This window comes from Homo sapiens, chromosome 12 (genome assembly GCF_000001405.40).
Source record: "Homo sapiens chromosome 12, GRCh38.p14 Primary Assembly".
In the NCBI taxonomy this organism is placed as follows: Eukaryota; Metazoa; Chordata; class Mammalia; order Primates; family Hominidae; genus Homo; species Homo sapiens.
This window is the reverse complement of record NC_000012.12, coordinates 52,969,686-52,982,973: the sequence shown is the minus strand read 5'-3', so window position 1 is coordinate 52,982,973 and position 13,288 is coordinate 52,969,686. Positions and strand designations below refer to the sequence as shown.

The 13,288-nt window shown below is 50.1% G+C and overlaps 2 annotated features.

Annotated features, from left to right (window-relative positions):
• Positions 9,898-10,823: an enhancer, noted in NCBI's record as "OCT4-NANOG-H3K27ac-H3K4me1 hESC enhancer chr12:53365935-53366860 (GRCh37/hg19 assembly coordinates)". NCBI's record gives its function as "activates a minimal SCP1, AML or CMV promoter by ChIP-STARR-seq in primed H9 embryonic stem cells {active_cell/tissue: H9 hESC(primed)}" and the evidence as "EXISTENCE:reporter gene assay evidence [ECO:0000049][PMID:30033119]".
• Positions 10,824-11,751: an enhancer, noted in NCBI's record as "OCT4-NANOG-H3K27ac-H3K4me1 hESC enhancer chr12:53365007-53365934 (GRCh37/hg19 assembly coordinates)". NCBI's record gives its function as "activates a minimal SCP1, AML or CMV promoter by ChIP-STARR-seq in naive and primed H9 embryonic stem cells {active_cell/tissue: H9 hESC(naive and primed)}" and the evidence as "EXISTENCE:reporter gene assay evidence [ECO:0000049][PMID:30033119]".

Below are 13,288 nucleotides of genomic sequence, written 5' to 3'. Positions count from 1 at the left end.
TGTTGCCCAGGCCGGAGTGCAGTGGTGCGATCTCAACTCACTGCAACCTCCGCCTCCTGGGTTCAAGCGATTCTCCTGCCTCGTCTCCTGAGTAGCTGGGACTATAGGCGTGCGCCACTATGCCTGGCAAATTTTTGTATTTTTAGTAGAGATGGGGTTTCACTGTGTTGGCCAGGCTGGTCTCGAACTCCTGACTTTGTGATCCGCCCACCTTGGCCTCCCAAAGTACTGGGATTACAGGCCTGAGCCACTGTACCCAGCCTCTCTTTTTTTTTTTTCCTTGAGATGGAGTCTCACTCTATCACCCAGGCTGGAGTGCAATGGTGCAATCTGGGCTCACTGCAATCTCTACCTCCCGGGTTCAAGCAATTCTCCTGCCTCAACCTCCTGAGAAGCTGGGATTACAGGCACCTGCCACCACGCCTGGCTAATTTTTGTATTTTTTTAGTAGAGATAGGGTTTCGCCATGTTGGCCAGGCTGGTCTCCAATTCCTGACCTCAGGTTATCCGCCCTCCTCAGCCTCCCAAAGTGCTGGGATTACAGGCGTGAGCCACCACGCCTGGCAGTTTCCTTTTTCATAACATGGGACCACTTATACTTACCTATCTTGGAAAGCTTAGGGATCATTTATTTCAAATCCTTAGCACAGTACCTGCCACACAGTAAGCACTTGAAGAGTGGTAGTTCTGTATAAAAGAGTTCATAGGCTGGGCCTGGTGGCTCACGCCTGTAATCCCAGCACTTTGGGAGGCTGAGGCAGGTGGATCACGAGGTCAGGAGATCAAGACCATCCTGGCTAACATGGTGAAACCCTGTCTGTACTAAAAATACAAAAAATTAGCCGGGCGTGGTGGCACGTGCCTGTGGTCCCAGCTACTCAGGAGGCTGAGGCAGGAGAATCACTTGAAACCTGGAGGCAGAGGTTGCAGTGAACCAAGATCATGCCACTGCACTCCAGCCTGGGTGACAGAGTGGGACTCTGTCTCAAAAAAATAAAAATAAAAAATAAAATAAAATAGTTCATAAACTGCAAAGCATTATATAAATATTAGGTATTATTATAAAGACATAGGTCGGGCGGGGGTGCAGGGGCTCACACCTGTAATCCCAGCACTTTGGGAGGCCGAGGCGGGCGGATCACGAGGTCAGGAGATTGAGACCATCCTGGCTAACACGGTGAAACCCTATCTCTGTCTAAAAATACAAAAAATTAGCTGGGCGTGGTGGCGGGTGCCTGTAGTCCCAGCTACTCGGGAGGCTGAGGCAGGAGAATGGCGTGAACCTGGAAGGCAGAGCTTGCAGTGGGCCGAGATCGTGCCACTGCACTCCAACCTGGGCTACAGAGCAAGATTCCGTCTCAAAAAAAAAAATAAAAAAAAAAATAAAGACATAGGTCGGGCATAGTGGCCCACACCTGTAATCCCAGCACTTTGGGAGGCTGAGGCGGGTGGATCACAAGGTCAGGAGTTTGAGACCAGTCTCAAAAAAAAAAAAAAAAGACATAAACACCAGATCAAAGACTGTGTAAATAGGACTGAGCCAATCTGGAGAAGCATTGTGCAGGAGGCAGCATGAAGGAGGATGAGAGGTGTGTCAGGGCAAGGGCAAATAGGGAAGGACCAGGAAACCCAGGGGGACACATGCCTGACATTCACAGGGCCAGTTCCTCGACTCCTGCACCATGATCACTGCCATTCTGTCTGTGCCGCTAGCATGGCCCTCCAGAATGAACTGCAAGCTTGCTTGAGGCTCTGGAGAGCTCTTACGTCCACTGACGTTGTTTAAGCTCCAAGAGGCTCTGATTCCATGAACTCTGCCAATGAGAAGGTTGAAAAGAAATTGGAAGTCAATGTGGATGGAGCAGCCGCCTATTAGCAAATTTGGCCAAATGGTGGTGCTATAAGCCAGAAAATCAAAGCCATTCTAGTAGCCAGGATGACTGGAACAATGGTCTCTGCACCTAGAAGGCCACCAGGGGGCAGAGGGAGGCAAGACTGCTTTTCTCAGGGACAGCTGGAGTCACCAAGTCAAAAAGGCCATCAGTGCCGGACGTGGTGGCTCACATGTGTAATCTCAGCACTTTGGGAGGCCGAGGCTTGAGGTCAAGAGTTCAAGACCAGCCTGGCCAACTTGGTGAAAGCCTGCCTCTACTAAAAATACAAGAAATTAGTCGGGCATGGTGGTGCGTACCTCGGGAGGCTGAGGCAGGAGAATAGCTTCAATCCAGGAGGTGGAGGTTGCGGTGAGCTGAGATCATGCCATTGCACTCCAGCTTGGGTGACAGATCGAGACTCCATCTCAAAAAAAAAAAAAATGCCATCAGAGTCATTTAATAAAACAAATGGCTATATTGATGCAGTGCCAGAAATAAAACAGAATAACTCAAACAGGTGCAGATCTTGCTATGAAATGCTTAAAGGGATAGGAGTCATTACAAAATGCTTAAAGGGATAGTTCAAGGGAGCTCTGCAGCCTCATCCCTTAACCTGCCCCCCTCACCATACAACTTGTTGCTATAAGTGTCACCCTGTCGCCATGGCTTTTCCTCCCTTCCTCTGTTCCCATACCTTCCCCATACTCATCAAGCTCCTTCTGTATACCAGAGCATTTAGCCAGAGCCTCGGAAGGTGAGGGAGAGATCGCTGATGAGGAGGTGGGAGGGAGCTAAGGGAGGAGTGTGTGTGTGGAGTGAATGGTGTGGCTGGAGGCTGGTCAGCAGGGGAGACTGCAAAAAGAGGAGCTGGAACACAGAGTCAGGGCACTGGCCATGGAGTCTGGATGCTTCCTGGGTCACGGAAGGGTTTTAAGTAGGTGAGGGATATTATGAGATCTAGTTTTATCTATTTATTATTTATTTATATATTTTTTAGAGGTGGTCTTGCTCTGTTGCCCAGGCTGGTCTCAAACTTCTGGGCTCAAGAGATTCTCCCACCTCAGTCTCCCAAGTAGCTGGGACCACTGGGCCTGGCACACATTTATTTTTATTTTTATTTATTTATTTTTTTGAGATGGAGTCTTGCTCTGTCACCCAGGCTGGAGAGTAGTGGCACCATCTTGGTTCACTGCACCCTCTGCCTCTTGGGTTCAAGTGATTCTCCTGCCTCAGCCTCCTGAGTAGCTGGGACTATGGGCACCTGCCACCATGCCCGGCTAATTTTTTTTTTTTTTTTGGTAGAGATGGGGTTTTGCCACATTGGCCAGGCTGGTTTTGAACTCCTGACCTCAGGTGATCCGCCCACTTTGGCTGGGATTACAGGTGTGAGCCACCAAGCCCGGCTGAGATTTATTTTTAAAGAAGACCATGTTGGCTGGTGTGTGGAGGAAGGCTGAGTGGTTACTGGTGGCCATGAGAAGACTTTCTGTTAGGAAGATGTTGCAGTGATAGTACAGAGGACAGATGCCTACAGCCTGGATGTGGGGTGTGGATGGGGAGAAAGGAATAGATTTGGACTTACTGTGGAAGTAGGGTTATTAATTTATTAGATCCATAGGGTAGACCAAGAGAGAAGGAGGTGTCAAATATGATTCCCAGGTTTCTGGCACAAGCAATTAGATGGATGGTGTGTCATTTACTAAGATGAACAAGAATTATGAAGCTGGTGGGAGCTAAGATCAATAATCCAGTTTTGAACAGGTTAAATTTGAGATGCCTAAGAGTCATCTAAAAAGAGGCATTAAGTAGAATATTCCATAGGCTGCTCTGGAGCTCACAAGAAAGGTCTGGTTGGACATCACAATCTGGAAGTCTTTGGTCTATAGAAGATGCAATTAAAACCAGGGCAAGGTATGAGATGACTCAAGAAAATAGTCCCTATTAATAAGAGAATAGGGGCCAGGACCCAGCCCTGAGGAACATCAACTTTATATCAGGTCAATTTATAGATCAGAAACATCAAGTTACAGACCATGTCAAGGAGGGTGAGTGGGGAAAAGGGACCGAGAAACTATAACTAGAGAAAAGCCTGGCACGAGGTGTCTGGGAGACTAGGAAGGAGAGTGTTTCAAGAAGGAGGGAGAGGCTGGGTGCTGTGGCTCATGCCTGTAATCCCAGCACTTTGGGAGGCCGAGGCAGGTGGATCACCTGAGGTCAGGAGTTCGAGACCAGCCTGGCTAACATGGTGAAACCCTGTCTCTACTAAAAATACAAAAAATTAGCCAGGTGTGGTGGCACACGCCTATAATCCCAGCTACTTGGAAGGCTGAGGCAAGAGAATCGCTTGAACCTGGGAGATGGAGGTTGCAGTGAGCCAAGATCATGCCACTGGACTCCAGCTTGGGCAACAAGAGTGAAACTCCATCTCAAAAAAAAAAAAAAAAAAAAAAGAAGGAGGGAGCATGCAGCTGCTGGAAGCTAAGTGGTCAAGGAACAAAAGGAATGTCAAGTGTCCATCGATTTCAACAACATGGAGGTCTCTGGGAACCTTGGCTAGTGCAGCTTCTGAGGAGCCATACGAGCTGAGCCAGCCTGGAGGGGCTGAAGAGTGAACTGGGTGAGGAAGGGGAAAGCCTGTGTGTAGACCTCTTTTGAGAATAATGTAAGGCCAGATGCAGTGACTCAAGCCTGTAACCCCAGCACTTTGGGAAGCCGAGGCAAGTGGATCACCTGAGGTCAGGAGTTTGAGACCAGCCTGACCAACATGATAAAACCCCATCTCCACTAAAAATACAAAATTAGCCAGGTGTGGTGGCGCATGCCTATAATCCCAGCTACTTGGGAGGCAGAGGCAGGAGAATCACTTGAACCCTGGAAGTGGAGGTTGCAGTGAGCCGAGATCGCGCCACTGCACTCCAGCCTGGGCAACAAGAGCAAAACTCTGTCTCAAACAACAACAACAACAACAACAACAACAACAACAAAACAACAACAAAACGAGAGAGAATGATGTAAGATGCTTAGCTATGAGAAGGAACAGAGAGCTGGCCAGGCGCAGTGGCTCACGCCTGTAATCCCAGCACTTTGGAAGGCTGAGGCGGGTGGATCACCTGAGGTCAGGAGTTCGAGACCAGCCTGGCCAATGTGGTGAAACACCATCTCTAGTAAAAATACAAAAATTAGCTGGGTGTGGTGGTGGGCACCTGTAATCCCAGCTACTCGTGAGGCTGAGGTAGGAGAATCACTTGAACCTGGGAGGCAGAGGCTGCAGTGAGCTGAGATCACACCATTGCACTCCTGCCTGGGTGACAGAGTGAGATTCCGTCTCAAAAAAAAAAAAAAAAAAAAAAGAGAGAAGGAACAGAGAGCTGCAAGGGAAGGTGGTCCAGGGAGCTTGTTTTCAGGTGGGCAACCCTGGAATTGTTGAGGGAGAGAAGAGAGAAGAGAGGGGGAGAAATCTCATGTGGGGGGGAGGGGAAAGGGTCAGCGGGTGGTATGAAGAGGGACTGGGTTCCAGACCTCTGCCCATGCTTTTTCCTCTACCTGTGATGCCCTTTCTGACCTCACTGCCTGCTCACCCTACAAGACAAGACTTTGTCTCTACCCACTCACAGCATGTTTAATAGCGGATCCTGGCTCTTACCATATGCTACTGAAGACAGAGACTATGACAGAAGTATAAGTCCCCCAGCACTGTGTCTGACACACATTTGGAGGACAGCCCGGGGCAGGGTGGGAGGTGAACGGTGAAGTGTCAGCACCCTGCCTGGACATTATGGTGGTGGAGTGAGGGCGATGTTTGAGGGGGTGAATGGCAGACTGACTGAGAGAATCTCAGCTGTTCCTCTCAGTGGCTCTTTCTAATACTTTTTAATTTTGTTTGTTTGTTTGTTTGTTTGTTTCCTGCAGGAGTGGAGCCCTGACAGTTCCCAGACCCTCTCACATACTCTCTCAAGGAATCCAGCTTAATGGATCAGCCCACTGTAGACAAAAAAACAGAAAACAGAAAATGGATCCAGAACCCAGACTCCCATCAGTCCCACCACATAGCCAGCAGGAGGTCAGGGGTGAGGGGGGCAGGCTGGGGTTTAGTGGGGGCCTGCATTCCTTTCTCTCTGCACGGCGGCAGGGCTTCTCAAGTATTCTCTAATTAAGATGAGAAGCAGAAGCAGGGGCTCTCTGGAATGTAAACAGCAGATAAGATCAGGCACCCTCCTCCCTGGGAAACTTCCATTTTCCTTCTTTTAGGATGGACACTGCATTCTTTCCCCGCTGCAGTCTTTGGCTCCCCAGTTCTTTCCATCCCCCCTCCCTCAGCCCTTGTCTCTGTCTTTGAGTCTCTGTCTGCATCCCTTATGGCTCCCTCATCTGGTACAGGGCTTGTGCATTGGAACCCAGAGGGGAACCTCTCATTTCATCAGTATATGGACATCTCCCAGGTTCAGGCTGGGAGTTTTTGACCCTTGCTATGGGCTTCTCTCTCCTGTCTCTTCTAGGAGGACAGAGCAGGCTCCATCATTGTACCAAGGCAATGTTCATTCAAATAAACAATGCCAGCCAACATGTGGGGCCAGGCACGCCAAGTACTAAAGGGACCATCTTGATGAGTGGTGCTCATAAGAGGTGTCAGAGGAGGAGACAGCATTGGCAGGCAGCCTGAGGGTGGCAGCCGAGTTACGGGGAAGGCTTCAGGGAGGAGGCGTGATTTGCACTGAGCCTTGAGGAAAACGTGGGATGCAGGACATGGAAGGGTGGGGAGAACTCCTGGCAGGAGGCAGTTTGGGAAACGTTGTTTGAGATTAGTTCAGGTGGAACAGTAGGTTTAGTGAAGGGCAGACGGGGCACTTGAGTAGGGAGGTGGATATGGGAGATGGAATGCAGGGGGAAGATCAGATTTTATGCTTTCAACAATGAGAGGCCATCACAGGTGTTTCAGGGGGGAGTCGTGATAGGGCAACAATGTGGATTTAAAGATAATTCTGGAAGCAAATTAGAGAGGTGCGGGGTGGAGAGGTGAAGGTCTCATGCTCTCTTATCCCCTGACTCCTCACCTTCAGCTGCTGCCACTGTCTCAAGGGGCCCAGAAGTACCTTGATGAAGATGCAGGATGGGTGGGATTGGGGAGCCATGAGACCCTCCCTCTCCTGGGATTCTTGACGCCCTGTGTCTATGCTTGGCCAGGGCTCTGTCCACAGTGGGGCTTGGACCTGAGTCCCTCCCTACCTCCCAGGTAGCACAGGACAGGATGAACCTTTCTGGGCCAGAGGGCCTGGCGCAGTCCAGGGAAGGATTCCGTACACTGCATGCCATGTGGCTTCTCCATGCTGGCACCTCAGCCCAACCCGGGACAGTGGGTGTGGGGAATGGAGAAGCGGGTGGGCCATAATTTGAGAGCAAGGGGGCTGGTCTGAAGCTTATGGGCCCATGGGGACATCCCAGAGGTTCAGTCCACCCACAGAGGTTCCCCAGAGTGTCTCCTTTCTCTCCTGTGACCCCCAGTCCCAGGCCTCACTGCCTTGGCCCCTCTCCCCCACAGAAGTCATGTCCTGGGAAGATAAAAGCACCAGAGTGCAGTCCTGCACTGCTTCCTGGGGGCCTCAGAGAATGCAGACAGAAGGATGGAGGAAGTGACCTCACTGGGATTATTCCACTGTGGCTGTTTGACTTCTGTCCAGGGATATCTCTCTGTGCAGCTGGGATGGGACCATTGGAGCGGCTATTACAGGAGGGAGATAAAATTCAGCAGAAGTGTTAGGATCTCAGCCCCTGGAGTTTTCTTCACCCATCTCTGCCTGCAGGCAGGCTACGTGCCTTTCTTCATGTCCTGGATCCCCGCCCACCCCATTTCTCCTGGACAGGACTGGAAAGGTGGAGGATGCTGGACCTGTCTCTGAGCTTGCTGTAGGAGTGCTATCTGAGCTTGCTGTAGGAGTGCTATCTGAAGCACTTCAGTCTTGAAGGGGGTCATCTGGCCCCTCTGCAACTCAGGAACAGTCCACTCATTCTTGTCTATCAGTGTGACGCCCACCCCTCCAGGAAGCCCCTCTCCCTGCTCCTTCTCCTCCCAGCCAGCCAGCCTGGCTCCTTCTCTGTAATCCTTGGAACAATCCTTTGTCTCTGGTGCCAAAACAGAGAGGACTCTGCTGGGCCTTGGCCCCGTGGGGTTTCCTGTGGATGGGTTGGCCTGGTGTTTGCCCAGCCACACCTTACACCTTTCAAGGACAGGGGCTGCGTCTCCTCCTCGGTGCCATCTGGCCATGGTTGAGGAGGGTGGGAGCCAATGTGAGGAGTGAGAAAGAGGGAGAGAGAGAGAGAGAGAAACAGACAAAGACACACACACACACACACACACACACACACACAGAGAGAGAGAGAGAGAGAGAGAGAGAGAGAGAGAACAGAGAGAGAACAGGGGCAGGAGCAGAAATACCCAGCTGGAGAGGGGAGGGCAGAGTGAGGACACAAACTCCTCCCACAGCCCCTGCCAGCCCTTGTTACCACTAACCCCGTACTGATTATATTCTGCTATTTGGTGTATAATTTGCATTTTGTGTATTATATGCATAGATGACTATAAGTTCCCCCTACCCCCTTTTTTTTTGAGATAGAGTCTTGCTCTGTCACCCAGGTTGGAGTGCAGTGGCGCTGTCTCGGCTCACTGCAACCTCTGCCTCCCAGGTTTAAGCGATTCTCAGCCTCCTGAGTAGGTGGGATTACAGGCACCTGCCACCACGCCCAGCTATTTTTTTGTATTTTTAGTAGAGATGGGGTTTCACCATGTTGGCCAGGCTGGTCTCGAACTCCTGACCTCAGGTGATCCACCCACCTTGGCCTCCCAAAGTACAGGCATGAGCCACCGCGCCTGGCCTTCCCCTCCCTTTTTAATTTTTAAAATAAAAAAAAAAAATTTTGTTTTTGAGACAGAATCTTGCTCTGTTGCCCAGGCTGGAGTGCAGTGGCTCGATCTTGGCTTATTGCAACCTCTGCCTCCCGGGTTCCTGCCTCAGCCTCCCTGGTAGCTGAGACTATAGGCGGCTGCAACTACGCCTGGCTAATTTTTTTGTATTTTTAGTAGAGATGGGGTTTCTCCTTCCTTCCTTCCTTCCCTCCTTCCTTCCTTCCTCCCTCCCTCCCTCCCTCCCTTCCTTCCTTCCTTCCCTCCTTCCTTCCTTCCTCCCTCCCTCCCTCCCTCCCTCCCTCCCTCCCTCCCTCCCTCCCTTCCTTCCTTCCTTCCTTCCTTCCTTCCTTCCTTCTTCCTTCTTTCCTTCCTTCCTTTCTTTTTTGAGATGGAGTCTCGTAATGTCACCCGGGCTGGAGTGCAATGGCACGATCTTGGCTCACTGCAATCTCCACCTCCTGGATTCATGGAATTCTCCTGCTTCAGCCTCCCGAGTAGCTGGGATTACAGGCACACACCACCACACCCAGCTAATTTTTTGTATTTTTAATAGAGATGGGGTTTCACTATGTTGGCCAGACTGGTCTTGAACTCCTGACCTCTTGATCTGCCCTCCTCGGCCTCCCAAAGTGCTGGGATTACAGGCGTGAGCCACCTCGCCCAGCCTAGAAATGGGGTTTCACCATGTTGGCCAGGCTGAACTCCTGACCTTAGGTGATCTGCCCACTTAGGCCTCCCAAAGTGCTGGGATTGCAGGCATAAGCCAACATCTCCCTTAATGTGTAACTCACATCATATCCAGGTGCTATTCCCTTGCCCATTCCCAGGGCCCTCATCCCCCATGCCTCCTTGAAGACTCCTTGAGTTCCTGCCCTGCTGTCTTTTAGGTCTGCTCCCAGGATGAAATCAGACTTGCTTGGTGAATTGGCAAATGCTCTGCAAACCCAAAGCCATTCTGGAGGTTGAGTTTATGGACTTGTGGAGGGAGGGGACTGTGTGGCACCCCATTCTGACTCTCTACCTAATTTACAAACCCCAGGCTGCTGCACTGGGATGAGGAGGAGGCGGCCTCCTGAGTGCAGGAGAGCACCTCAGAAAGTCCTTCATCTCAGCAAGCCTGCCTCCTTTGGCTTCCACGCTTCTGTCTGGTTGTACCCCTGGGAATCACAGAGAGTAGGTATAATTTATCTTCTCCTAAATGACAGACCTTCCGATATTTGGCATCATGGAAGGGAGGCCAGGTTCAGTGGCTCACGCCTGTAATCCCAGCATTTTGAGAAGCCAAGGCAGGAGGATCGCTTGAGCTCAAGAGTTTGAGATCAGCCTGGGTAACATGGTGAGACCTCGTCTCTACTAAAAATAAAAAAAAATTTAGCTGGGCATGGTGGTGCGTGTCTGTAGTCCCAGCTATTTGGGAAGTTGAAGCAGGAGATTGCATGGTGGTGCATGTCTGTAGTCCCAGCTATTTGGGAAGTTGAAGCAGGAGATTGCTTGAGCGTGGGAGGTCAAGGTTACAGTGAGCCGTGATCAAACAAGACTCTGTCTCAAAAAAAAAAAAAAAAAAAAAAAAAAAAGGTGCCGGGCGCAGTGGCTCACCCCTGTAATCCCAGCACTTTGGGAGGCCGAGGCGGGTGGATCACCTGAGGTCAGGAGTTTGAGACTAACCTGACCAACATGGAGAAACCCCGTCTCTACTAAAAATACAAAAATTAACTGGGCATGGTGGTGTGCGCCTGTAATCCCAGCTACTTGGGAGGCTGAGGCAGGAGAATCACTTGAACCCAGGAGGCAGAGGTTTCGGTGAGCCTAGATTGCGCCACTGCACTCCAGCCTGGGCAACAACAGCGAAACTCTGTCTCAAAAAAAAAGAAAGAAAGAAAGAAAGAAAGAAAATGGAAGGAATCTTAGAGGAGATCTAAGGCTAAATCTATATTTTGCTGATGAGGAAAACTGAGCCCAGAGAAGAAGAACCTTGTGAAAGTCACCGAAATGAGTCAGCCTGACCTAACCCAGGGCTCCTGACGCCCCAGGCAGCATTCTTTCCTCCCAAGCTTCTTTTCTCCAGGCCAAACTCTCTTCTGAAATCTCACTTTAATCTGCTCAGTTCAATTTTGCTTTTAATTATTTGTGTACTTTCTGTCTGTCCTTAACACGGTAATTTATACATTGTCTTGCCCACAGGGGTCTACCATGGTACAAGGTGGTCAAGAAACACTGAATAAAGGAACAATCAAAGTAGCCCACCCCCACTGAGTTCCTTAAGTATGCTGCATGCCTTAGTTCCTTTCGTCCCCACCCAGGGCTCCCAGGTGGGTTCCTCGCAATGATGAAGAAACCCAGGTGGGGAGATAAGTTGTTGCTCAAGCTCTGGCTGATGGAAGAGGTGGAGTCATCCTGGTGAGCAGCAGGCACACCCTGGGCTGCTGCGTGGTTGTGAAAGCCTAGAAACACTGCGCTTGTGCACCAGCTGGCGAAGAGGCACTGCCCTGAGCTATCCAAGTCCCCTACCCTGCCTTGTCTTCCTGGGACCCTCCCACCATCAGCTCTAAGGCCCTGTCTGTTCTGCCTGGCAGGGGCCTGTGCATCTCTTGGGGGAGTAGGCATTTCAGCTTGGAATTCTTTCACTCTAAACTTGGGCTTATGCTGCAGGCCCACAATCACTTAACCTAACCTGTAGGTCCAGATGACTCTCAGGATTCAGAATCTTTCAGATTTTACAAAGGAAATGTGGTACATAAAATGTATACTAAGGAAAACCACAGTGGGGAGGGGGGGATCTGTGGCACGTGTAATCATGGACTCAGTCTTATTAATATTGCTGCAGTGAAATGTATGAATATTCACACTAAATGGAATATATAAAAAGTATAAATAGGCTGAGCGCGGTGGCTCACGCCTGTAATCCCAGCACTTTGGGAGGCCCAGGTGGGCGGATCACCTAAGGTCGGGAGTTCAAGAGCAGCCTGACCAACATGGAGAAACCCCATCTCTACTAAAAATGCAAAATTAGCTAGGCACAGTGGTGCATGCCTGTAATCCCAGCTACTTGGGAGGCTGAGGCAGGAGAATTGCTTGAACCCAGGAGGCGGAGGTTGCGGTGAGCCGAGATCGTGCCATTGCGCTCCAGCCTGGGCAACAAGAACGAAACTTCGTCTCAAAAAAAAAAAAAAAAAAAAAAGTATAAATAACTTCATGTTAGGTTTTGCATGTGAGTTATGAAGAATTTTTGGTTTTCAGAGTTTTTTGGGGTTTGAAAGTATTAGATAAGGAATTGAACAATACTATAGAGCCTTTTAAGGGTGATTTTGTATTACTTGATAGGAGCTTGAAGAAGCCAGAGAACTTGTGTTGAAGGGCTGGGTTAGGGTGACAGAGGCCTGAAAGTGGTGGCAGATGAGTGACAGCTCCAGGGAACCCCAAGAAGGCTTTGATTTGACCACGGCTGTGACCATCCGGTCAACAGAAGTATGCCATAGTCCTGAGGTGCTCCTTGTGGCTGGGTCTGGTGCTAGACAGGGCTAAAGGCAGCACCAAAGTGGGCAGTAGGCCTTTGAGACCCCGACTGGACAGAGCCACACTCTTCAGGCAGGATGCTGTCTCCTTATCTAGGCTTGGGGTCTTGGGGCAGCCGGAGGGTTGGCATCCTTGATTATAGCCACAGGGATGAGACCTTTTTGTTTTGTGCTTTGGCTCAGCTCAGCCCCACTGCATGCCTGGCTGCTCCCACCAGCTCAAGATTATCTCTCTGGTGACGTGCTGCCTGGGGCTTGGCATGTACCCACCCCTGCGATCTTGCCCCTGCTGCAGCCAAGAGCAAAGTTTCAGTCTCTGGGACCCCAGCCAGACAACTCAAGGAGAGCCAATGAACTTGTATTTATGCAGTACCTACTAGCTGCCAGGCATGCAGCCAAGCCTTGGGGACTTTGTTCTCATTATTTTCTCACCTTTCCCACTGCACAAGTCTTAGCATCTCTCAGGTTTCACTTCTGCCACAAATCATGGCCATCATCCTCCCCGTGAACACCTGCAGCATTTACTGCCATGACATTCCTTGGCTTTGAATTAACCTCGTGACCTTTCTTGTATCTTTATGTTCTTAGGGCCGAACCTGAGGGTGGGGACCTGGGTCTAAGCTGTCCCACTGGTGGGCACCTTCCCTTCCTTTCCTGAACATTTTTGGAATGTAGGAGTGACCCCAGAGGAGGATTACAAAGCCCTTCTTCAAAGGAGAGGTTGAAAGTGGTGCCCGGGTTCTATAAACATTTGCACTGAGCATTCCTAAATGACAGGGAGATTTATAGTTTGAGTGCCTTCCCATTACGAAGACTGTTTAAGTGACTTGGGAAAGTTTCTTTAAAAAGAAAAAAAAATGGAGCAGATTAAGATGAGATTTTATTTTTCTTTTTTTCCTTAAAAAGAAAAAAAGGCTAGGCGAGGTGGCTCATGTCTGTAATCCAAAGGCTAGGTGAGGTGGCTCATGTCTGTAATCCCAGAACTTTGGGAGGCCGAGGTAGGT